Here is a 27,259-nt window from a genome sequence, read left to right as displayed (position 1 = left end):
TTCTGAGAATCACCAAATGCAACTACTAATTATGCAGACTGTCCTGTAGATCTCAGGATGTCTATCAGCCCTGCCCTTTCCCACTAAATATTATAGAGTCTTAATCTAACTGGGAGACCCAAGTGTCCCTACACATTTCCTAGATGCCTCCAGAAGGCACTATCTGCTATACTGAGAACCATTGCTATAGAACTTTACCTTCAATATCACTTCTTATTTGTAATGTCTGTCCCTGGTGGCTCTGTAGAAGATTTTGCTCTCAATCTTCCATGAGCAAATAGAAACTTGGAATTTTTTTTTCTGTTTCCTAAAATAGAATACAGATATGTCCACACTTGGAAATATGATATATTTTTATGAGTATATCTTCAAGTGGCAGATCATAAGGTGAAATCCCAACTTGCCTTATATTGTATCATTACCATGTTGTCGTTTTGTGTCCAGATGACATTGGCAGTAAGCAGCGAAGGATTCAGTAATGTTTTGATAAAAAGAGCATTAATGTAATTATTTATTTATTTATTTATTTTGAGACAGAGTTTCACTCTTGTCACCCAGGCTGGAGTGCAGTGGCACAATCTCAGCTCACTGCAACCTCTGCCTCCCAGTTTCAAGCGATTCTCCCACCTCAGCCTCCCAAGTAGCTGAGATTACAGGCACTTGCTACAACGCCTGGATAATTTTGTATTTTTTGTAGAGCCGGGATTTCAACATGTTGGCCAGGCTGGTCTTGAACTCCTGACCTCAAGTGATCTGCCCGCCTCGGCCTCTCAAAGGGCTGCCAGGCTTGAGCCACCGTGCCCAGCCAATGTAATTGTTTTTAATCTGCATCATCTTTTGAATAAAAAGACATTTTAAATATCAGAAAATGACCACTGTCTAAATTTTCTTTAACCAGCATAAATGGATGTAAACTAAGTAGTTTGCAAATTTTCATGTCTGTTTCACTTTTATCTTTCTCCTTGGTAATATGTTTTCTGACATTGCTGTGAAACATTTCATATTACTTAAAATGTGTATCTTTAACAGATTTTTCACTTTTCAGTTTAAACATTTCACACAATCCACACGTATTTATTAAGGACTTATATACTTGACATAACACCAATTGATGTTTCAGTCATCAAATCTTGAACACCTACTTCTGATTGTCTAACCCTTCTTTTTCAAATTAACAACAAAACAAACCAAAACAACTGTCTCATACAACTACTCCATTCTCCAAAGAGAAGTTGTAAATTATAAAACTTTAACAGTCTTATTTTTTCTTTGATGGCCTACTTAATAAATCTAAAGGGACTATAGGTTTACAACCTTGGAGTGTTGCTTTTGATTTTTTTCCCCCTGTATCAGTCCCTAAACCAAAACATTTACAGTACTGTGTATATTTAATAATTTTGTACTGACTGCATGAAGATATAAATGTGTGAATGAATACAGCTTGTTAAACATGCAAGTATATTTCTTCAAAGAAGAGTTTACGGATTCTTTTTCCTTAGCAAAGGGAAGTTGTATTAAACATTGTGGTGGTTGAAATGCTGCTAATCAAAAATTGGTCATCGATTTGAATACATCTTATAGCTTTTCTATCATGTTGTTGGTTTATTTCTGAAAACACAAGGGAGAAGTTGATTGGGCTGCCTTAGCTGCCTTTTTCTATGGTGACAGGTGTTTAGACTTTAATCCCTCTAACTGTGCACATAGATGTTTCTGGTGAAAAGAATGTACTGCCCTTTGTATAAAAAACATAATAATGATAATAATGTAAGTTTGAGAACGGTTTAGTCTACACAGTTATTGACAAGAGGTACAGCTTGTACTGGAGGACCAGTCTGGATTCAAGAAGATGGTCCTAAGTGTACCGAAGTATATCTTTTCGTATGAAGATATAAAGAATAGAAATATGAGTGGTATTTGAGGTGTCCGCATCCTCTTTGGCACTCAGAGGACTCTAATCAAACCCAATGTTGTGTACTGAACTATTCCTGACTTGTGAAATTCATCTTTTATCCCCTACTTTAACTTTTTTTTTTTGAGACAAGGTCTCATTCTGTTACCCAGGCTAGAGTGTTATAGCTAACTACAGCTTCCACCTGGGCCCAAGAAATACTCCCCCCTCAGTCTCTCAGGTAGCTGGAACCACAGACACAAGCCATCACACTCAGCTAATTAAACAATTTTATTTTTTGTAGAAACTAGATCTCTCTACGTAGCCCAGGCTGATCTCAAACTCCTGGGCTCAAGCAATCCTCTCACCCTGGCCTCTCAAAGTGCTGGGATCACAGGCATGCACCACTGTGCTCAGCTACCCCAATTTTACCTTTTAAACACAAAAGCTTTCATTAAATGTAAAGCCACCATTTCCTTTGACTTTCAAATCCATGTATCAGTAAAATAAAACAAAAATTTATTTGAATGCAATAATAGCAGACATATGCTGTTCTAAAATCCTCAGAAATCTGGCAGTGGAAACTGTGAAGATAGTTATGATCTCATGAAGTTTGAATATAGTCCTAAACTCTTTGGAATGAGAGATTTGTCAGCTGGATTTTCATGCTCTAAATCTGACTTCAATAACTTTCACTTTCTGCCAAGATGTATCCATTATACCTCAGTATCTCCTGATATTCTCCAATAAAATCCACTGTCAAATTAAAAGCTTAGTTCTGTCGTTTGTGCCAGGCCCCAAGTGCTACCCTTATATTCCAAAATCAGTAGCGCTTTTTCCAAGTTATTACTCAGGGAGTATAACCAACTAGAAAAAAATTTAGAAATACTAGAAGCATGTTCTCCTAGATTTCCTACATCTATCCCTACCAACTTCCCAAAGAGCCCTGTAGTATCTTCACCTACCTTCCTATCAGCTATTCAGACATAAAAACAGCTGCTTTCTTCCTGGGAAGATCACGTAATTTAGAACTGGCTTGGGGTGTACCTCTGGGTTACCAAAAATGATTTTTTAAAAATATCTGTCATTCAAGAAAATAAGATCTGGGGTCAGGTCCAGGCAATATTGTCCTGAGGGTGCTTTTCTTCTTCTCGTGGCTGATATTCCCGCAGTGACATATGATATAATATGCACTAAGCTGATACTGCTTCAGTAACCATGTCTGTGTCTGTGACAGGTGCTACTGACTCCTTTCTTCATGTTATTGATCTAAAATATTTTTTAAAATGTAGAATCTACAAAACCCTGGAGGCCTTTCATCCTTGGAAGCTGGAATTATTGCATCTTTTCATCCTTCTTAAAGAGGGGAATGTTTTCACCCTTACAGTTAAGTTGACAGTTCATATGCGATGTTTACTTGACTTTTTATATCTGGTTACAATAAATGTATAGGCTGTTAACACATAATAAATAATGACTCATATATTTGATTTAAAATTTCCTGGATTATCTATAATCAGAATTTAGAATTTCTCTCCTAGAAGTGTGGCGAGCTGAAGCTATTAGAGCTGTGGCCTTTACAATCCTTTAACGGAATAACCCATCTCCTGTTGCTGATCTGAACCGCATAACTGGCTAAACTAGTGCAGGCAGCATGATTCTTCACACACAACCAGATGCCAGAAAGAAGAAAACCACAAAGGGGCTGAAAAACACAGCATAGAGCCCAGAAGCAAGAGGGTAAGGTGGGGCAGAAACCAACCAGCAGTGATTGGAAGGGAAGATTAAGTCAGGAGGCAGGGCTCAAAGGGCATCTGAAGGTGAGAGGCAGCAGCCCGAGGATGCCTCAGGAGTCTGCGTTGTACAAGAAGCTGGACATTAGAGATAGGTCGCAGGTCAAAATCAGATAGAATTTTGCGATCAGAGCAGACACAGCAAACCAGAAGCACTTGAACTGTTCAAATAGCACCTTCTTTCCACAGCAAGTCCTTGCTGTTGTGACTGCGAATACACTGGTCCACTGAAGCCTGTGACACTTGCAATTTGGGAGCTTATCACAGCCGGAGGACCCTGACACAGGGTGAGGGTGCAGGAAAGACAGGACATGAGATTGAGGATGCTGACTCAGACAGGTCACTGGACCGTTCCAGTGTTTTTCTTACAGGGAAAGAGTGTAGGAGGCAGTGCATCTCTTTGTCTTTGTCACTTAACTTTTGGTGTTCTTTAAACTGTTCTAAATTAGTTCAAGATCTACAAATTGAAGGCTAAAGAAGGGAGGATAAATAAAGCCCAGCCCAAGCAGTTTTGATTGTAGAAACATTTGGAAGTATTTGGGTTGTTAGGGGAAAGGAGCATAGCTGATTTTTTTTAAATTGATTTGGAGTTTGGTTATTTGTCATTTACTCATTAGTTACTTTCCTCCCCAACAATAACAACAAAAGATAATTACCATAGTCTGTTCTTACATGAAACACTGAGAAATTTTATGTAGACATTGAAATTACTTCATCAGTTTCTTCTGTGAATGATTCATTTCACATTTCCCAGTCTTATGTAAATTACTCTGCAGCATTTATATAGCATTAGTGTCATGCAATTTGTATCATTATTGAACATTTATTTTCTTTTCAAACAAAGTGCAAAGTGCCAGAGGATGGGAAGTATATCTTTAGCTGCAGTTTGAAAGAAAATGTACCAAGCTTGGTGTCGGATGACCTGGGTTCTACAAAGCAGTCGTGTACGTTTAGCCAAATCACCTGTTCAAATCTAGGTTGCCCAAACTATAAATGCACTTGAATGAGTGATTTTTCAAGAATGTGGGGCAAAATGAAGTCAGAGCATTCAAGGCTGTGGTATCTTATTTCTGTTTCAGCTACTGTGTCTGTGCTCTCAGTGTTTCATATATTGGGTCCCTACGTATGATTTTATTTTTTAAATTTCTACTGCTAATAAAAGTTTCACAGATGTGATAGTGTCCAGTATTTCTTTCAAATTTGAAGTTTCATTTGATTTAATCATTTTATCTATCATGTCATTTAGTGTAATTTTTGAACCTAGTAAGTGTCTAATAAATATTTGCTGGGGAAAAAAATGAATGCTATGGTTCAATCATGCAATACTCAGATGTTCGTAACCATTTCCATGTGAAAAGTTTAGTATAGGCTGTAGAGAATGACATTTTAGACTTTTGAGGGGAATTATTTTTATGTCAGCTTGAAATTCTTCTTGAACTTGATTTCTGACTTGGGGGAAAAAAAGCAAGCCTGATGTGCACAAGCTTTATACAGAGAATCAACTGTTTTTAAAAGAATAATCCAGCTGCTATCTGATCAGCCAGGTAGGAGTTGTTCTGTGGAAATGAAGAAGCCCTCCATTTTCAGTCAGAGTCACGCATATAAAGGCTTTGATAAGATTAAAATAATCCAAGAATGCAATTTCAAGATGCACAGCTAGAAACAGCAACTAAGAAATATCCATATCTTACAGGACACAGCTAAGGGAAGAGTCAGGTTTTAAGGACCGTCTACAGATAATGTCAGGATGTACAGATAAATATGAGCAACTGCTGATTGAGCTAGAAACACTGCTGGTTAAGTTATAAATCTTATGATTTTTACCCTTCAAAATGCCTCTTTCCTTGCTGCTTTATATTTTTTTAAAGAGCGGAGTATGTTGTCACTTGGAGGTTGTGCTGCTTTCCTGTGACTTTAGTCACCTTTGGTGCCCTGGCCAGATCCCTTTTACCAAGCCTGTAAAATGCCCAGTTTCCGTCAGTGTTAGCTGCTATTGGCTCACAGCCCCCACTTCTCTTCAGAATCACTTGTAGCTGAAAAACATTTACTTTGCCAAACCTTATGTGCCCATCTCCCAGCACTATCAGCTCATATCTGATGACTAACTGACATGGGGAATACAAAAAGCCAGTGCCCTCACTTCATTAGGTCAACTCTGGGGCAATTCATGCTCTAGTGCTCCCCGTGACATCAGGCTGAAGTTAGACTTATGCTAATACCACATTCTCACTTAGCTGCTTTCCCTTTCCTACCCTACTTTCCTCTCTCCTTTTCATCTGACAACACTCCCTTAATAAATCATGTGCATCCAAATCCTTGTCTTAGGCTCTGCTTCTAGGGAACCTAAGCAGTGATATTTTTGAGAGTATAGATTCTTTCTTCTTTTATCTTTCATCCTCAATCTCCAGCACATCTGGATCATGATGCTTTACAAGTATTTTGAAGAGTAAGCAAAGTAAGAAATTTGGCCTTCATTTGGTGTGTTAGTTAGTCCTTGCATTGCTATAAAGTAATATGTGAGGCTGGATTATTATTATTATTATTATTATTATTATTATTATTATTATTATTATTATTTTGAGATGGAATCTCACTCTGTCACCCAGGCTGGAGTGCATTGGCACTACAACCTCTGCTTCTTAGGTTCAAGTGATTTTTCTGCCTCGCCTCCCCAGTAGCTCGGATTACAGGTGCCCGCCACCCTGTCCAGCTAATTTTTGTATTTTTAGTAGTGATCGGGTTTCACCATGTTAGCCAAGCTGGTCTTGAACTCAAATGATCCACCTGCCTCAGCCTCCCAGAGTGCTGGGATTACAGGTGTGAGCCACTGCATGCAGTCAGAGACTGGGTAGTTTATAAAGAGAAGAGGTTTAAATGGTTCATGGTTCTGCAGGCTGTAGAGGAAGCGTAGTGCTGGCATCTGCTTCTGGTGAGGGCCTCAGGGAGCTTACAATCATGGCAGAAGGTGAAGGGGAACCATGTATCACTTGGCAAGAGAGGGAGACAGGAGAGGGAAGGTCCACACTCTTTAAACAACCAGATCTCACAAGAACACTCATTACTGTGAGGATGGCACCAAGGCATTCGTGAGAGAGCCAACCCCCAAAACCAAAAACCTCCCACCAAGTCCCATCTCCAGCATTGGGGAATACATCTCAGCATGAGATTTGGAGGGCACAAACACCCAAACTGTATCAGTTGATCAAGAACTGACCATGGAAGATGGATAGTTGAAGTCACAAGCAGTCCAGCACAATTCTAACCTTACCATGAATCTGAATTCTTAGCTCACTAAAGATTTAGGAACAGAATTGGGGAGTAGAATTATGGTCATGTAAAAATAGAGTCCGTTTAACATCCTAACCTTAAATCAGAAACCATCAAAGCATCATATCAACAAAAAAATTGTTTTCACTTATGAAAAATATGAATATTAACACAATTTTGTTGCACACTTACTCTCTGCCATATGTCTTACACTAGGCATTGAGAAAATACTAAAAATACATAGGATATGTTCCATGCTCTCAAGAAGTTGTGAATTGTGAAAGAACCTGATAGTTGAAGTAATAATTTCATGCAGTGTGCCTAAACATGAAATAGAATTCCATACAAAGTGACATTTAAATAGGTAGAAAAACCAGAGACCATATCCACACTGGTAACAGCATGGGCAGAGGTTTGCAGTTAGACATGAAAGTTAATGCAGTGTTCAAGAATATACTGAGGAGTTAGTAAGAAATTAGGCTAAAATGTATGTTGATACAGATATGAGAAAGGGCTGTAAGACTCAAGATTCACTTTATCTTGAGGGCAGGGTGGCAGCTATCAACAGTGCTAAAGCACTTTCTCTTCCACTTTAAAAATTAAAACAGTGTGGTAACCTTAAAAGGTGTTCTGAAACAATATTCTAAGCAACTGTTATCACTTTTGCTTTTTCCTTTTTTTTATCAGGTGCTTACTTAAACATTTCTCATAATTGCAAAGATTGTGACTTGTAATTATTTGTAGTTACTATTTTACCATGAGCTTTACCCACATTTTTATGTGTTTTAATTTTAAGTGGCTAAATATTATTATAAATAGTGTGTGCAGTATAATTTATATTCGTCATTTTCATTTTCCCTGAAATCTTTGTAGGCTATTAAGAAGAACAATGATAGGATCATATTTAAGTTTTAGAAAAATGACACCTTAAAAGCTGCAGGTAGATTAGGATGAGTAGGACTTGGAGTCAGAAACTTCAATAAGGGAGTGGCTGCAATATAGACTAGGAAAGAGGTGATACCAACCTGTCAGTGTCCTCATCGGTAAAAGAAGATACAGCTGGGCACAGTGGCTTATGCCTGTAATCCCAGCACTCTGGGAGGCCAAGGTGGGCGGATCACTTGAGGCCAGGAGTACGCACCAACTTGGCCAACAGAGTGAAACCCCGTCTCTACTAAAAACAAAAATTAGTCAGGCACAGTGGCACACGCCTGTAGTCCCAGCTACTCGGGTGGCTGAGGTAGGAGAATTGCTTGAACCCAGGAGAAGGTTGCAGTAACCTGAGATGGCTCCACTGCACTCCAGACTCGGTGACAGAGCAAGACTCTGTCTCAAAGGAAAAAAAAAACATACAACAAGCCTCATAAGTGCTTGTGAAAGCTAATTGAAATAATATATTAAAAGAGTTTGGCATTTAGAAAGCTCTGAAACGATCATTCATTTAACAGAGGAAGCTATGAACATTTTTTTTTTAAAGGTCAGTTTGACTTTTAGGCACCTGATTTCCTGAAGGACTCTTTGAACTCTTTGAATGTGGGTACTGTTTTATGCATTTTCATGTGATAACTAAACAGCCTGATTTACATTCTTGCCCAATATACGTATTTCTTCAAATAATGAACTAATGAATTCCCGGGCAATAAATACCTTTTGGTTAAATGGACAAACAGTTCTGTTCAGTGGGAAACATGCTAGTAGAGTCTGCTTTTAAAGGAATTGCTGTATGCAGTATTCTAAGAAATAATGAGGAAGTATTTTTACTTCAAAATACTTTGATCATAATATGATGATAGGTATTTTCTTCTCTTGCCTGTGAAAGTGTGTGTTAGGTATGTACATTATGGGGCCAAACTAGTGATTGTTGCTAATTAGGATATATGTGGCGCATTCTATCAAGAATCCCAGTTTTCTGGGCACTGTGAGCTGTAAGTCAAGTCATAAAAAGGAGTGAATTGTCTTTTTCATATATAGCACTGAAATTGACTGGAGTTAATTATTTAATGCCTACCTCCCCTACTAGACTACAGGCTGTGTCACACACCTCCCTCAGCATCTAGCACAGCAAATGGATTTAGTAATATTTATTGAATAGATTAAGAAATACAGAGTGAATAAAATAGGACACTGGTTGGAGTGTTGGGTCAACCACAATTTTGGTGTGATATATTCTACATATCACAGTGAGAAGGAAAATGATATAAAATGAATAATATCCTCCTTAAAGTACTATACAAAAAGAATACTTCTTATATTTTTTCAAGATGATGTAATCTTGTCAAATATATAATATGTTGCATGCCAGTGCTTTCTTAATCCTTAATAGTAATACCAGTAATTGTATATTAAGTTCCTGCTATGTGTCAAATACTTCTAGGTACTTTAAATGTATATTCAGTAATCTTCAGAACAAGCCTAGAGAGCAGAATTTAGTTATTTCATTGTAAAGATGAGAAAAGTGGGTCTCAAAAAAAGCAGATAACTTGTCCCAGATCACACAGTAGTTTTTCTTGGTACCTGGAGTGATTTTCATCCCTCTTTCAAATACAACCCTTTGGCTATTGGGAAGTAGCTATTACAACTGTATTTTTTCTTTAACTTGATGTAAGGGAAAGACCACTTTACACATATACAAATAGGAGAAAGTTTTGCCAGACCTTCTGCAGCTAGTATTTACATGAGTGAGTAGAGAATTGTAAGAGGTTCTGGTAGCAGTAAAAACAAATTACAAACAACGGAACATGAAGAGAAGATGTTGTCTACCAACATCTGTCAAATATGGCAGATGATCTTCTTTGTCTTATTTTGTTCAATACCACTCAATATCATCACTTAGGCCTCTCTCTCTTACTGTTTAGATCTCTTGGGATTCTCTTAATTTTTTAAAGCCTATACCTTGAAAAATTCTGTTTAAAAATACATTGGAAAGCATATAGATTTTAGTAGGCTGAATAATGGCTACTGGAAGATACCAGGTCCTAATCCCAATAAGCTGTAAATGTTATCTTTTAGGGAAAAGCGGTCTTTGCAAATGTGATTAAGTAAAGGATCTTGACAAGGTAGATTATACTGGATTAACAGTGTGGGCCCTAAATCCAGTTACATGTATTCTTATAAGAGCAAAGCAGAGGAAGATTTGACAGAGGAGAAGTCAATGTGACCACAGAGGTAGAGACTGGAGTCATGTAACCCCAAGTCAAGGAATGCCAGCAGCACTGGTAGCTGGAAAAGGCAAGGAATGAGTTCTCTTCTAGAGCCTCAGCAGCGAGGGTAACCCTACTGACACCTTGATTTTGGCCCAGTGATACTGCTTTGGGGCCCTCTAGTTCCCAGAACTGTAAGAGAATAAATATGTGTGGTTTTTAGCCATCAAGTGTGTGGCAGTTTTCTGCAGTGGCCTTGAGAAACTAATACAGACATAGAAAATTATTTTATGACTTTTTCTTTTAGATGCAGTTGTTAAGTCAGCATTTGATCTTATTTGAGCTAGATAGAACCAGGGTTTTCTAATCTACAAACTATTGATTTTCATCTTGATTTAAATGTGTTTACTTATTCTTCCTCTATAAGGTAGGACAATTTTGCAAAAGATGTATAAGAATGTGTGTCTCCTTTCAGGTTCAGCTGAAATAATCTTCATATAACAAAAGTTAGAGAAAACAATCTGTCTGAGCCAGAGACTTCGTTATATGAATTCATACAAACTAATGAAGGAATACAAAACTTGGCCTCACAGGGAGAGAGTGGAGTGTCTTATGCAAATCTTTGTTGTCAGCCACATTCCTACATGCAGAATGCAAAAACCATGTTTCAGTTTGTTGAGGATTTGGAAATAGCTTGAGATAATCTTAATTTAAAAGGACTGGCAAATTCTTTCAGCTTTGTAGAATTTATTCCACATATGTCAAAGACAAACTTGTTGTACTGCAAAATAAACTAGTACTGTGTGATCTTAGTTGAAAAGGTAAATATTACAATTTACATTCTATTCTCTCATATTCATTCTTTTGGTACATGTTAATAAATTGCAAAACTATATTGCTGAAAAATCTAATGATCCTGAAAAATCTAATGATAAATTCTAGCAATTATCAGTGATTACAATATAGGCCTGGTTTGTTGTTGTTGTTGTTTTTGTTTTTGAAAAGGAATCTTGCTCTGTTACTCAGGCTGGAGTGCAGTGCCACGATCTCGGCTCACTGCAACCTCTGCCTCCCAGGAGGTTGCAATTCTCCTGTCTCAGCCTCCCAGGTAGCTGGGATTATAGGTGCCTGCCACCATGCCCAGCTAATTTTTTGTATTTTTAGTAGAGATGGGGTTTCACCATGTTGGCCAGGCTGGTCTTGAACTCCTGACCTCAAGTGATCTGCCTGCCTCAGCCTCTCAAAGTGCTGGGATTACAGGCGTGAGCCACCATGCCTGGCCATAGGTCTCATTTTGTACACTAAGAAAATGTCAAATTACTAATTTTCATACTTAGTGCTAAATTTACATTTATCATAAATGTAAACATGTAATAGAGAACCAGTAATTTTTTATTTTCCTTAAAAATGATCCTGGTAAATAAGAGAATTGATTCATAAGATCATGGTTTGTTGATGCCATAGCAACATAATCTTATATTGAGAACATCATCTGTTACAATGCAAGTAGTTGTGGCCATGTGCCTAGAATAGACTTAGTTATTAAAGTACATTGTGATATGATAGAATAAGATTTGTCCAGATGTTTACAGAGCTCTTACAAGGAATTATTTTAGTCTGTTTCTAAATTATTTTAGTGTGTTCATCTGGGTTGAAATGTTATGTGCTTAAAGGATTGAGTTACTGTGATGACTTGGAATATTTAAGTAGCTTTGAATTGTGCGGGTATGTTAAATGCCTGTTTGGGAAAGAAAAATAATATGAGTGAACAGAGATTAAAATTTGTGAATTATCTGATTGCCCTAGAGATGTCTCTATTTGAGTTTAAAATAAGAGATTGGCCTGGTGTGGTGGCTCATGCCTGTAATCCCAGCACTTTGGGAGGCCAAGGCAGGCAGATTGCTTGAACCCAGGAGTTCAAGACAAACCTGGACAACATGGAGGCACCTCACCTCTACCAAAAAAAAAAAAAAGAAAGAAAGAAAACATTAGCCAGGCATAGTGGCATGTCCCTATAGTCCCAGCTACTCCAGAGGCTAAGCTGGGAGGATCGCTTGAGCCCAGGTGGGTGAGGCTGCACTGAGCCAAGATAGCTCCATTGCACTCTAGCCCTGGAGACAGAGTGAGACCCTGTCTCAAAAAAATAAAATAAAATAAGAGATCGAATAGTTCTGTTTTAAAATAGTCTAGGTGAGAAATGATAGTTTGGTTTTTTTTGTTTTAATCATATTGTTTAAAAGAATACTTCCCAGCAGAGTTTTATTGGGAAACCACACCAAAATAAGGAACATGCTGGGGGCAAATTCAGTGGTGAACATAAATCTGAATGTTAAGAAGACAAAGGAGGCAACACCAGCTCCAGGGCAGAAGGAGAGTTGAGAAAGTTAGGAGGGGCTGACACTACCAATCTAGCATCCAGAGAGGTTTGATGAAGAAAATTTGACTTTAGGGAGTTGTGAATTTAAGATCAGAAGTGATTTATGCGTAGAAAATGATTTCTGTCATTTCACCTGATTCTTGTAACTTCAGCTTGAAGTTTCTAATTTCAAGAAAATTAGAAATCACTCGTCAGCTAAGATTTGGGGAAAACTGTTAATAGTCACATGTGATGTTATTAACAATTTATTGGATAGCTTTATCGATCCTGTTTCTCAAATTATACTTGGTTTTACAGATTTTAGCCTTTGGTTTGACTCTTCTTTTGCCCCATTTTTCTTGGCTGCTCCAGCTCCACTGCTGAGTTCACTACAGGTCAGAGAACTGTTCAGTATTTTTAAAGCAGAAAATGCGGTGAGGATGGGATTTTGTAATGTAAGTTTTTAATCTCCGTATCTGAGCATTTTGGTTCGTGCAGTGATCCCAAGTAGCTGAGATGAGGCAGGCTCCAGTATCTTAACCTACTAAGTATGTGTAAACTTGATAGAGAACACAATTTTCCTTTAAATATCTTAGCTCTCTAGTCTCTCAAATTGTGAAAACATATTGGGGGCAGATTGTGAAAGAAATATGTTCATAAAATATAAATTCAGTGATATCCATGGAAAGAGCAAACTCAGAGTGAGGCAGATGGAAGAGGAATAACTTGGATCATCCAGGTGGGTTAGGTGTTCCAGGAAATACTGAGGACCCCCAGCCAGCTGTTTGATCTGGCAATACTGGAGGACGGTGCCTCAGCGATCCCTTCAAAATCAATGAAGATTTTTCCTTTACTCCGTAAGCTGGGGGTCATTGACAGTAGTTGGACTCATTTGGAGTGAGGTGCATAGAAACTGGCTTTTAGGAATTCAAAACTCTCATGGAATATGTGAACCACTTGGATTCAGTGGATTTGAAAATAATCGAAAAAGTAAATATACTAAAGGTCAAGGAAAAATGAAGTCACTTGCTTAAAGGCTGCTGAGTATTAGATTTTAAGAGAAGAAACGTAAGGGACCAAAAGTTTTCATGGCAAAAAGACAAAACAAGCACCCCTCTGTCCCCCGACCTTCCAGCCCCGCTACCAACACACGCAGTGTTTTATGAAGTGGTCGCAGGAGAATCTGAAGCAGCCATAAAGAAGAAAGGAGTATGAGAGATCCAACTGTGCCACTAACAGGCACTTAATTTCTTCTGAGAACTAATTTATACCAACTACTCTAGCTTTTCAAATAGCAAGCAAAAGCCAATTTGCATTTACATTGTAAAACTCTGTTTTCCAAACAGTGGCGTACAGAGTGTTGGTGGTCAAATCTCTAATGTAAGCGAGGGATTTGGGGATCAAATATTTCCTGAATTGTTACTCTTTGCTAGAGAGTCAAGATAGGCGCTGGTATGTACCCTCCAAGAAGAAATAAATGGAAAACACACACAGGAAACAAACCTTTATAAGCTTTCTTCAACATTATCTCATATAATTCTTAGAATATATATAAAAGAATATTACTACTACATTTTATAGACAAAGAAACTGAGATTCAAGTTATGTAACTTCCCCAACTCTATACATTGGTGAATGGTCACTTCAGAAAGCCTTGCTCCTTCTAAAACTCCAGCCTACCTCTATTAGGCTGTGATTTAAAGTTCAAATGAGAAACACAGCCAACAAGTGCAGAGAAATTCCGAAGTCCCTTGGGGGATTGAGGGCTGGAAAAGGCTTTGTGGAAGAGATGAAACTTTCTTTCTTTTTTTTTGAGACGGAGTCTCGCTCTGATACCCAGGCTGGAGTGCAGTGGCACAATCTCCGCTCACTGCAAGCTCCGCCTCCCGGGTTCACACCATTCTCCTGCCTCAGCCTCCCTCCCGAGTAGCTGGGACTACAGGCGCCCACCACCACGCCCGGCTAATTTTTTGTATTTTTAGTAGAGACAGGGTTTCACCGTGTTAGCCAGGATGGTCTCCATCTCCTGACCTCGTGATCCACCAGCCTCGGCCTCCCAGAGTGCTGGGATTACAGGCGTGAGCCACTGCGCCCGGCTGAAGAGATGAAACTTTCTTATCAAAAGGGTCCAATTTAGACAAGGGAAGATGTTGAGTATAAAAAGGTTGATTATCTAGAATTGGACAATCTATAGCCCACTGAAGTATTTTGGGTGTGTTTGTTAGATACTTTGAGAATTAGAAATTGTGAAATGTAGTTATTAGAAAATTTTAGACAGCCAAGAACCATTTAAAAATAAGGCTCCCATCTTTTCATTCATTCACTCAAGGCCAAAAAATATTTTAGGATTAAAAACCAATCTCAAACTCTAAAATATTTATTAATAATTTAGACTTTATACTAAATTATCTTGGAAAAGCTAGAGCTCAACTAAAATCATTTTTTAAATCTGGTTCATCTGTTTAATATTAAGGCAGTCTCTAATTTAGTAAATAAACACCTCTAAAAATTGTAGTGCAACCTCTATTAACGTGATTTAAACCATGTTGTGTATTCTCCTGAGATATGCCAGATTAAGGAATTATCGAAGCCTTGGTGGAAAATGACCTACTCAAAATGAAAATGGAATTCATAACTAAAAGCATCCCAAAAAACAGCTAGTCTTAACCCTTCATTTCGTAAATAAGCAGAGTGGGAATAGGTTTAAAATGTCGACCATCTTTACTATTTTAGATCACATCACGTTCTTATAATTTGAGCACTAGTAAAGGTTTTATTTGTTTTCTATTTCTTTCTCTAATATTCAAATGTGATTTTGTTCCTGTTTGTGCTTTGAATGGCATGTTTGGATGACTGTCCCAGATCTGGCATTCTGAGATTGTACCACTAAAAATGTCAAGTGCATTTGCCTTTTAATTACATACAGTACCTGGATTTTAATATTTTAGATTTTTCCCTGAAGAAGAGACTTTTCTGGTCCTGTAGTTTGTGGGAGGGAAAAAAATATCACTGACATTATCATGAAGCTTTTTCCCCCAACGTCTCCATATATCCACATTTATCATTTCAGAACAATTTCATTTTGGGTCAGGTTTAGTTGTTCTGTAGCTTACTTTGCTATAAACACTATGTTTAAATATATAATTCCGCACTGTTTGTTTGTACTTCTTTCTCTTATTTCCCATTAATGTTCAGCTCAGCTTGTTTTACTCTTAATAGGCCATTACTACTTGGATGTCACATATGTAATAATCAGTATGTGGAAGGTATAGTTTCTTGTGATTTACACTCCTTTCCTTCCTTTACCTTTGGCATAAATGTGAACCAGCTCATTACTTTCCAGGGTATTTCTTTTTTTACTTCCCCAAATTAAATTTTAATTTCATCCTATTGTTATTCTCTGATTTTTATTATTTCAGGTGGGCAAAAAAGTCTTATTTGTCAATGAAACAACTCCATAACCACTGAACTCCCTTTTGCACCTACTACATAGACAAGGTACTTAAAGCATTTTTGCTTTTGAGATGATACAGTTCCTCAACTTAAAAAAACCCACACCATCTACCTCCGTGTCTTCTTCAGAAAGGTCTTCTCTCAGCTCCAAATCTAACACAGTCACCAAGGCACTCCACCTTGTCCTTCTATTTTAATTCTCAGTATGGAAGTCCTCACTATCAGGTGATCCTTGTTTACTTGTCTATTGTTTACTAGACAACACAGGGATGTAAACTGCACGAGAGTGGAGATATTCTCTGTTTTGTTCAGTGATGATTCTTCAAACCCTAGAAGTGTGCCAGGTACATGCCAGGGACAACAAATAATTCATTTAATTAATGAAAGGAAGGAAACAAAAAAGTAAATGTTTTCTTTGTGTGTTTAAGATGGGGCATGGAACATGTATTTTTTTTTTTTCTTTTTGCTTCTAAGGCTTCCTCTCAGAACCCTCCCAGATTCCATTCATTTGTCTATCCATTTAAGTCTGCTTTTATTTGTCCCCAAAAGAATGTGACTGACTGCCAATTTATGTGTATTTATATCTCCCCAGCTTTTCCTTTCTTTTTGTTAGGTAGTAGTTGAGGTTGACACCTCTATTGTATCCCCCACCTCACCCCCATGTTTTGAAAAGGCAGTGTTAAACATTACTCCTAATATAGGCAGCTTAATCACATTTCTCCCAAGTGAAAGTGCCAGATGGGAGTCAGAAAGCATAGGCTATATTTTTAATTATGTCAGAAGTTAATACTAGAACTATTAAAAAGCCACTTTCCTCTCCTGAGATTGTCTTTCTTTATTTGAAAACTGGAGTTGGACTTTTTTTGTTGAATGATTCTAAGAAATGTTTTAGATTGTCAAGAAATCAGATACAAATTCATCCCCCTGTGGAGGAGCCCTATCTGTGCCTCTTCTGTAATACCAGTAGCCATGGTATGTATTGCAGTATGATGCTAATAAGTACAGTCATTTGAGTACTTACCATATTCTTCTTCTAGTTTATACGCTCTCTAAAGGAAGAACACTTGTTCATCTTTCTGGTTTTTTAGCCTAGTACAATGTTTTGTACCCATCAGATAATTCAACAAATACGTACTAAATGATAAACAATAACAGATTCTTATCTCTGTTTTTTTTAGAAAGTAGACTTCCCTCCATCTAATGCTGCTTCTGTGATGCTATAATATTTATGGTGCAGAAATCTAGATTTAGAAAGAGAACTTTATTCGAATCTGTTTATACATTCCCTAATACTTACTGAGGCTTTATGAAGTACCAGATATTGTCCTTAGCACTTTACATGTTTCAATACATTTAATCTTTGAGTCAATCTAGAAGGTAGACTCAATCTCCATTTTACCAATAAGAAGTGAGGAGCAGTGGTTAACTTACCTAAGGTCAACTTGTGGCAAAGCTGGAATTCAAACTCTGATTAATGGTTTTGTTTTATCAAAAAAAAAAAAAATTAAGGCCACCTGACAAGAATGTTCACTATTAGTGTTTTTCCAGAGATGTTGAAGCTCTTTACCAACTGATGCTATGAAAAGCAGAATTTTTCTCTTAAAGAATGTTTTAGATTTTATAAATTAGTTCAGTTAACCCTAGCATTAATGTATTTGTTTCAAAAAAAGTTTAAAACTTTAAGCAGTATATTATAGTTGATAAATGCTCTTATATAAGTAGCATACCTTGACAAATTATGAGCATTTTTAATATGTTACCTATTCATTGGGCAAATATATATTAAAAGTTTATAATGTATTGGTAACTATGTAAAAATCATTAGCCATAAAGACATGAATGAGATTATATCTTTGCCCTTGATTCGCTCCAGACCTAGTGTGAGTTGTAGACTTGCTGAGAAATATTTGCAATACAATTTTTATTTGGGTTATGGGAAAATGATTAACTGGTATTTAGAGGTGAGAGGGTAGTTAAGGGAAAGGTGTTAGGAACACTAAAGAACATAAAAGCCCATGATCCCACTTCCCATTTTGGAAGCCTGGCAAATTAGGTTCTCAGAGGACCTCTGCAGAACAGTCCTACCCTGGATAGGACACATCTGTGGATACATTGCTGGACTTACAGTGGCTGGTGGAGATATCTCAGGACTCACTATTCTGCCAAATATATATATATATATATATATATATATATACACATATATATTTATTTATATATGTATAAATATTTATATATGTATATATATTTATTTATATATTATATATATAGAGAGAGAGAGAGAGAAGGAGAGAGAGAGAGAGTGAGAGCGAGCTGAAAACAGTGAGCAACAGGCAGAAAGAGAGGTTGGTAATACCTGAAGGGGGATGCTAAAACTATATTGCCCTTGAGACTTTTATCTTCAGACTGGTAATAAGAGTGTTGCCTAGCCTGGGACTCCCATATGGAGCTGGCAGAGGTGGTCTGAGGTCTGAGACACCTCATAGCTACTGGTAGGAGATGTAAATTATCTTTGAGATGAAAGCATGATCAATTTAGGCCTGCAGGGTTCCCACAGGCTAACATAAAGCAATTAACTCACAATCAAAGGTCACCAAGCATTCTTGAAAGTAACTCACTTTCAAGAGTGAGAGTTAGCAGAAACAACAGATGTAAATCCTCAAAAAAACTGCAGGTATTGGGATTGTCAAATACAAATAGCCTTGTACAAAATCTCTAAAGAAATAAAGTGCAAATCATAAAGATTAACAAGATGCTATCAGGAATAACTAAACAAAGATCCGTTTACGAAGAACCAAATGGAACTTGTAGGAAGGGAAAGCATAATTGTTCAAATTTAAAAATAACTCTTTGGATGGACTTAGTAGCAGATTTGGCAAAATGAAGAGATAATTTATTAGCTAGAATTTAAATCTGAAGAAGTTACCCAGAACAAAACATAAAAAAGAGCTAAGATGCTCAAGAAGAAAAGAACTAGGCCTGGGAATATCTCCATAATATATACAATATGTTACAGAACTATAGTAGTTGAAATCATTTACTGTCAGCACAGAATAATATGTTTCCTCTAAGAATAAAATGGAAAATCCAGAAAGTGACTCATGTACTTAACGTAATTTTGATATAGGACAGAAGTGGCTGTGTAGATCATTGGATCAATTCAAAAGTTATGCACAGGTAACTGGATATGTATGTGGGGACGGAGGAGGACCTGAAACAACTTTCTACTATACATCTTGGACTCTTTTAAAACTTTCAAATAAAAAAGAGGATTTTTGAAAAACTCAGCTTTGAAGGAGCTTCTTAAACAATAGGCCCTAACCATAAAAAAAAAGATTGATATATTTGACTTCATTAAAATTAATAACTGTTATTCATACCATAAGTAAAGTAAGAAGAAAAGCAACTGATGGCTTTCAGGGCACATTACCCCAAAATATGGCACCTTGGCATACTGAATATTTTAACCTGAAAAAAGTTGGAGAAAGTGACAAAAACAGGAAGATCTCTCTGACCTTCCCTTGAAGCAGATCATAAGACCCTCATATGAGAAGTGTCCTCCTTATAGCTAGGGGGGAAAATAAAAAGCACCTTTCTTTCCGAAGATAAGGGACACATAGAAGAATCTGAACAAACAGGCCTTGCTAAGTTTTCTGCAGTTTACTATACTTAGCTCATACTCTTCGCCCTATCATAGTCCTTTATAACGTCACCCTTCATCAAACCTGCTATAAAAACACTCGGGTTTAACTGTTGCATTAGTTCTTCATTTCCTTATGAAGTCTACCATGACTTGTAAAACTTATATTAATAAATTTGTATTTTTCTCTTCTTAATCTGTCTTTTGTAATAGGGGTCCTAGCCATGAACTTTTAACATCTTGAAAGGATGGTTTTCATCCCTTATACAGTCTGATAGGAGAAGATATTTGTAATACAAATTTCAGTCAAAGCTATATACTGAGCATTTCAGAGAAAAAAACAGGTAGAGATATTTCAGGTATCTCAAAAGGTCATTTTAGTAGTAATCAAATATGTATTACATTTCATTTTCTACTACTGAAGTGACAAAAATCAAGAAGGCTGATAATACAAAGTGGTAAGATATAATTTAAATGGGGTTGGCATACGCTGCTGGTGGGTATGTAAATTGGTAATAGTTTGGTATTATCTTGTAAAGCTGAATATTTACAATCTTTGTTTTATCAAAATGGGATGGATAAAACTCAGGGACCACAGTTTGCCAACTCCTAAAATAAAGAGTATTTGAGAAATGGTGAAAGGATTTTAATGATAAGAGTATATGAATGAAAGTGTCTCAGAAGATGAGGTTGAAAATGTTGATTGGCACCTGCTTGTGAAAGGCCGTATGTGTCATAACTTTTGCCTTTTCCTCTTGAATGTAAAGCAGTGAAGTCATTTCTTCGCATTTACCTTTTAGAAAACTCATCCAACTAGTAATATGTAGGATAAATCTGAGGTAGCCAACATGGGAAGCAGGAGGACTAGTGAAAAAACAAGATTGGGTCTTGAAGGCAGTCGAAGGTGGGGTGGAGAATTCAGAACCAATTTCAGAGAGAACTAAGCAGATAGAATCAACTGTGTTTAAGAAGTAAGACAGTGCACTAACGCTCTATTTTACCTAATTGAATGAATTTAGTGGGAAGCTTGATGAAAAATTAATATGCACATTAAAACATTTCTTCTTCATTACTATGAAACAAAATAATATTTTACTTTTTTTACCATTATATACATTCCTAAAATATACTTATTTTATTGCTTTCTTAAAAAGTATTTCTGTCACTTCAGAATTTTGTACAGCATTTTGAACTGTGTTTTTAAAACCAAAACAAATTTAGAGACTCTAAGACTAGAAGGAGATGCCTTAAGCAGTGTAAAATTAATTTTCAATATCTGCAGTATTAATCTGTAATTTTATTTCTTAGTTGTTTAAAGTCTTCATAGACTTTTGCACTATTTTCCACATCAGAAATCTTTGGATCACGTCCATATCATTATTAAAGGAGAATAAATTATTTTCCAACTACTGTTAAAGCACGTGGCATTTAGCTGCTCTCTTTTCTCACCAGTAAAATCTCTGGTAGACCCTGTTTTAGTCAGTGATCTAATACTGGGCAAGTTTCATAAGATCACATGCAATGAGGAAGCCAAATTACTTCAAAAGATCATTGAGTTAAATAATACATACTTCAAGACACCCATAAGGTTTAGGTGTCCAGTGTGGCAGCCTGTGTAATAAATAACATGTGCTTTACAAAACCTGTCATTGTATATTTATATAATAGGCAGCTAAGATTTTTTAAAAGCTGTTTTTCAGTAATTTCATTTTTCCTATTCATAGTTTTTCATTTCTATGTAATGGACCCAAAGAACTGACATCTAGATTATCTCTACCTAGAGCAGCAGCGTCTACTACTATTTCTACTATCCCATGTGTTTTAGTTTACAAAAACCTTTCACACCATTATGTTACTTGGTATTCCTAAAAGCTACACAAGATGGGTAATGTTATTAATTTTTTTTATAGATGAAGGCATTCACTCTAAAAGATTCTCACTTGCTCATTGTCACACAACAGATAAGAGAACAAACTAAGAATCAAAACAGGGTCTTGCTGATCCAATCCCTTGTGCTTTCAGTGACACTGGACTTTTCTTGCACATTGGTTTGGTGATAGGTGGTGACAGATGGTGGAAATGGTTAGCTCTATAAAGGAATGTAACAAAGGGGCTTGAAATTTCCAGAGACAACTCAGAAATGTTTGTTATCAAGTTCATCTTATGTTAATGTCCACAACAGTAAGAGATATGTCTGATCAGAGACATCCTTGTGTTTTTTAAGGAGATAACTGATTTTCTATATGCCAGTGCAACCTAGCTTAGGCAGGCTTAGTGGTGGTCTTTCATTTATTCAACTAATATTTTCTGTTCTGTTGCTCCTTTTTAGGTCCTACTAGAAATTCAATGGTGAGCAAAATAAATATGGTTTTTGCTTTCATGGGCTTTACCTTAACAGCAATGGGAAGCTATTGGAGGGCTCTAATCAGTGAAGTGATATGATACAGTTGAAATCCTAGAAAATACCGTGTGCTACAATGTGGGTTTTGAGGTGGAACAGGCAGACAGTATATTCAGAGATTTAACATAGGTGGCTGCTGTGTGATCTGCCTGAGAGGATACTGATCTGAATGAAGGTAGTAGCAGTGGGGATGGGAAAAGTGATGACAAAGAATATTTAGGAAGTAGTAATTTTGTAACTAATTGTGTGAGAAAGTGACTGTGCATTCCAGTTTGCCCAAGATAATTCCAGTTTTTGTTTTCCTTCAAAAGCATCCCAATTTGGATGATAAATGTTAATCCTAGAGATAAGGAAAGTGGAGGATTCAAGAATGATGCATAGGTTTCTGGCTTGAAGAACTGTATGGATAGTTTTGCCATTTACTGAAAGGGGATACACTAGAAAAAGAACTGGCATGAGATAAGATTATGAGTTCGGGTTGGACATGGTGTGCTTAAGGTGACTGTCATACATTGACGTGAAGACATATTAATCACATGACTCCATGGGTCAGGAATTCGGGTTGCAACTTTTGGTCAGAGATATATCGATTAGAGAGTGATCAGTTATCAGGATGGTAACTAAAGAGATGAAAATGGATAAGATCACCAAGCCAGAAAGTATGGAACACAGTGTCAAGAGGCATAGGTCCCTGAGGAACTCAAAGGGGCACCTATTTTTAAGGGATGAGCAAACAAAAATCTGGAAAGGAGAGACCAGAGTCCTCAGAAAACTAGGAGGTACCCAAGTTCATGGAAGTCCCAGGAAAAGGGTGTTCCAAGAAAGAGGGAGTAGACAGGAATGTCACATGCTATTAAGAGGTCACATAAAATAAGACTAGAAAAGTACACATTGAATTCAGAAACTTGCAAGTCATTAGAAACATTGGTTATGGTGGTTTGGTGTGGATGGGGGACATAAGCCTGCCGGTAGGATTTTAAAGAATGATTGGGAAGTGAGTGGGAACAGTTTCTCAGATCTATAACTGAAAAAGAAAGAAAGCACTAATGAAATGCCGGGAGGATTTGCAGAATTTGAGTGACAATAATGTCTCTGAAGACACCATAAGATTACTTAATACATTGTACTTACAGGCTTCTATCTCTAATGTCCATTATGAAAGTAGAAGAATTAGTTTGCCTAATCACAGCTATTAAGATAGTTTTAATTTTTTAGGTAAATTTGTGTGACTTTAAAGCTATTTCATTTTTAAGTAGTGGGAGCAAGGACACAATTGATCAAGTCACTTTAGCTATTTTTACCCCCCAAAATGCATCCTAGAAATTTGCTCAATAAAAATAAAATTGTGCCTTAGTTTTTTTTCTCGTTGTACAAAGAATTATGCTTCTCTTGGCTTCTGAACACTGGGGATTCCTTATATGCTCTTTGGCAGATAAAAAAAATGGTAAAGATTTATGGCCAAGGAAAGCATTTCTGAAAAAGGTGCTCCACATTGTCTTTGTGTATGTGCAGAAATTATAAACAGAACTCAGGGGCACCACCACTATAATAGCTTTTTGCTCTCTTTGAAGAAAATGGAAAATGCTGACTTAGGGGCTACTGCTTGTATTTCCTTTAATGAATCTTCTAAGCTTGAATGATTTTAAATAGGATATTTATGTTCCTCGGTTATAGCAAGCCAAGTACTTAAAAAAATACATGTGATTAAAATATCCAAACTAATAAATATATACAGACATATTTAGTAAAAACTACTGTTCATAGTAGTAATAGTAATGATAGTAATAAATGCCACAGCTAAAGACTTTGAGGAGAATTCACAGTCAAGGAAAACAACCACCAAATCACATGTATTTGGAGAATTTGATTAGACTTCTATACTTAAGTTTAATAATTATGTTGAAGATTAGTGAACAACTCTTGGCACAAGAATTGTCTTGACAGACAGGCAGCCTTACCCAACTCAAATAAATAACTTAATGGGCTTTTTTTTCTTTATTAACCACTTGGTAAATGTGAATTGAAGTCTAGTTTTTAACAAAGACATATAGATTATGACTTTATTATCTCTGATTTGCATAATAGATTATGAAAGTCTCAATGCTTTGTACTCTTGGTATACCTGCAAGCGTTTTAGTTTCTATCTATGTTAAAAAAATTACTTTCAGATTTGGCTTTTTATTTCTGGAAATATGTTTACATGAATTCATTAACCTATCTATATTACTTGTAAGATCTTAAAAATGTCTTCATCCCCTGAGTTTGAAATTGTTTTACCCATCACCCTCATGTCAGTTCTGTTATTTTATTACTAAACCTAGGTAATAGTATTAAAGCTGCTGTTCTTACTTCATGATGATAGTTTATATTTGCACCTACATACATTATATATATTATATTTGTACCCATATACATTATCTGCTTCTGGTAGGGATTAGCAGCTCTGAAGATTTTTGTAAAATGTAGCATATGCGACTCATAATAAAATATATTTAGAAAATTATACCATAATAGCATGTATTTTATTTAATTAAACTGTTATGAAAAATACTGACCTCATTAAGCAAGAACTGCTCTTCCAGAGAATTTTCAGAAACATTTAATTCTATAACTCAGATATGTCAGAAAATCACTAAGGGATCATTATCATTAGCCCCTGAAAGCCAAGTGTCTCATAGAACCTGAAGAAAGTAGTCTTTGATTAGTGAATAATGATGATTTGTTGCATGGACTAAAGCTTTTTTTCTAGAGATTTCTACATCAAACTTCTGTTTCTCTTCCTATTTGAAGTAGTATCTGTGGCAAACCAATGTAATTTGAGTTACAAGCAATGACTATGTTCCTTTTAGGTTTTTTCATTCAACTTTGTAATATATTCCACCTGTTTTCAATATCTACATATATAGAGATATAGATATATGTATATATTTCTAACGTCGCCCTGGAAAGGAAAAGATCTCTAACATATTTACTACATGTTTTGGTAAATTCAACCATAAAATAATTTGAAAGCCTTAAGGTATCTCTGTTCATAATTATGAGGTTAGAAATTCCCTACAGCCGGAATATATGGAAAGTGTCAAGTCAGAAAGGGAATCTCCCTTAGTTTCCCAAAATACACCAGCCAAAGCCTTGCTTTTTCTGCTTGAGAATAATAGTTAGTGAATCTAGTCTATGGAGAAGTTTTTATGCAATTGAAATAAGATAAATTAAGACAGTTATAGTGAATTGTTTTACAAAGTTAACTGTTCTGACGCTTTTATTTGAGCTATGTCTTTCTCACCAGTTTAGCTTTAAATTACCATTTTATATAATGATATTTACATTAGATATATTTATTCTTTCAGATTTCTTACTTTGAGAAATTAATAGTTAACCTCAACAGTCTCCTTTTGGCAGAATCTGTGGCTGTTGGGAAAAGTGGAGCAGATACTTGGATGTATAGAACTATGGGTTGCGGGGAGGGGGATAGAGAAGCCAAGAGGAGAAGGTAAAGAAGAAAGGATCAGAATGTAGACAAATGGTTGATTTTTAAGAGCTGATTAACAGATTGTCCACTGGAAAGGCATGAGGTTAGGTTTAGAGATTTCTTTGCGTATCTGTTCATGTGGACACCATCTCTTGACTCCAAGTGCAAGGTGCTGTGTTGGGTGCTTCAAGGCAATTTCCCAAATGTGTCTAATCCTGAGAATCACCTGGACTCTTGTTACACCAATTTTTAGCAGTAGGAGCCATGGATCTGGAGACATTGAGAAATTTTGTGTTAAAAGACAGAAGATATAGTAGATTTTTTCTTTGCTCTTGAGCAATTTATAAACTATCCTTATCTTTGTAAGCCTCAGTTCCTTTATCGATAAAGTGTAGATAATAATACTTTCCTTGTCAATTTTCAAGGTAAATGAGGTAAAAGGAAAATGTCCTCAGAGAGTTACTGGGGCTTGTAAAAGGGTTAAAGTTGGTAATTTTAATTGATTGTGTGTATGATGAGTAGTCAGATGGTTTTGAGAAAGAAAGGAAGTTAGGGCATACAAAGAAGTTTTTAAAAATAATCATCTTCTCAAAGTTGTTTCCCAACTTTATTATCTGGGTTTTATTTAATAAAAGAATTTGAAATATTCCTTGGTGTGTCTGTTTTTCTTTGCCTATTCTTCTCTTGTGCCAACTCAACTATTCATCTCAAATTATATATATTAAATCATAAACACATGCTTCTAACAGTTATATTAGGCATTTATTTAACCTAACCCCTTCTGTCCCAGACAAGTACCATTAATACTGCCTTAAAGCACCAAGCATACCACCTGGCATTTGAGTCAAGAAGCATTTGCTGAATTGACTGATAAACCTCTAAATCTGACCCCATCTCTTTCCAATGTACTAGTTGCTAGACAACCTTATGTTCGGACTTTCAAGGACACTTGGGGAAAACTAGTTCATCATTCTCTTTGATATTTATTGTGGAGGTTTGTTTTATTTTTTGTGTTAACAAAACCTCTTGTCAGAAAGATTTCCTTACCTCAACCCTAAATCTCGTATTGTATTTTAGCATGCTTCTGTATTTACATTGTGGGATTATTTTTATTAATATACAATAAACAAGTTGTGTTTCTTGGAGGTAATTACTGGGAATAATTTTTTTCTGTGATTATTAGCTTCTTTCAGTAACTGATTTTTTTTTTTATCCATTTAGCAGCAGCAACAGAAGAACCAGAAGTGATCCCAGATCCCGCCAAGCAGACAGACAGAGTGGTGAAAATAGCAGGAATTAGTGCTGGAATTTTGGTGTTCATCCTCCTTCTCCTAGTTGTCATATTAATTGTAAAAAAGAGGTAAGGCCTAATATTGTCCTGTCCCACTCACTTACCATTTATGTCACTGGTTTTAAAAACCTGTTTTTCTCAAGATCCTTTAAATTAGAACAAACAACAGGAAGAAAATTTTAATTTTAACAATGTTGTCAGCACCTGAGTCTATTGGACATGCTTTCTAATAAATTCTTATTTGGTTATTTGCAGTTTAATTTTGGATATAAACATATGCTTTTTGTTAAGTTGACCTAGAAATTAATATCCGAATTTAAATGTCTCAAATGCAAAGGTACTTGAGATCATTTATCTTATATTTGAAGTGTTATTATTAACAATGGCAAAATATGGATTTATTGTGATACTTGGGCTGTGGTCTAGGAATTATTTTGTGCTCTTTTTCTGTATTTTTCTACTTCTTGGCTACAAATAAGATATGAGAAGAATATAAACATTATTTAGTAAAATTGTACATTAAATATTCATTGACTAAAAATTTTAGCCTTTTAAAATAGA

The 27,259-nt window shown here is 36.3% G+C and overlaps 1 protein-coding gene and 1 long non-coding RNA gene across 7 annotated transcripts in view, besides 1 other annotated feature; one reads left to right on the top strand and one right to left on the bottom strand.

The window, feature by feature from the left end:
• Positions 1–8,032, bottom strand: part of PTPRK-AS1 (PTPRK antisense RNA 1) — a 58,429-nt gene extending 50,397 nt beyond the window's left edge. The window contains exon 1 of the long non-coding RNA NR_125849.1: positions 7,974–8,032. This is a non-coding gene — a long non-coding RNA (PTPRK antisense RNA 1). The remainder of the gene's footprint in view (positions 1–7,973) is intronic.
• Positions 1–27,259, top strand: part of PTPRK (protein tyrosine phosphatase receptor type K) — a 551,815-nt gene that overhangs the window by 484,703 nt on the left and 39,853 nt on the right. For 5 of the 6 annotated variants that reach the window (NM_002844.4, NM_001135648.3, NM_001291981.2 and 2 more), the window contains one exon: positions 26,629–26,767. In NM_002844.4, coding sequence (NP_002835.2) covers positions 26,629–26,767 — 139 coding nt within the window. The remainder of the gene's footprint in view (positions 1–26,628; positions 26,768–27,259) is intronic. The other variant, NM_001291984.2, reaches the window with a different exon arrangement.
• Positions 13,457–13,958: an enhancer, noted in NCBI's record as "NANOG hESC enhancer chr6:128343084-128343585 (GRCh37/hg19 assembly coordinates)". NCBI's record gives its function as "activates a minimal SCP1, AML or CMV promoter by ChIP-STARR-seq in primed H9 embryonic stem cells {active_cell/tissue: H9 hESC(primed)}" and the evidence as "EXISTENCE:reporter gene assay evidence [ECO:0000049][PMID:30033119]".

This window comes from Homo sapiens, chromosome 6 (genome assembly GCF_000001405.40).
Source record: "Homo sapiens chromosome 6, GRCh38.p14 Primary Assembly".
Taxonomy (NCBI): Eukaryota; Metazoa; Chordata; class Mammalia; order Primates; family Hominidae; genus Homo; species Homo sapiens.
The sequence above is the reverse complement of the archived record's forward strand: the minus strand, read 5'-3'. Positions and strand labels throughout refer to the sequence as shown.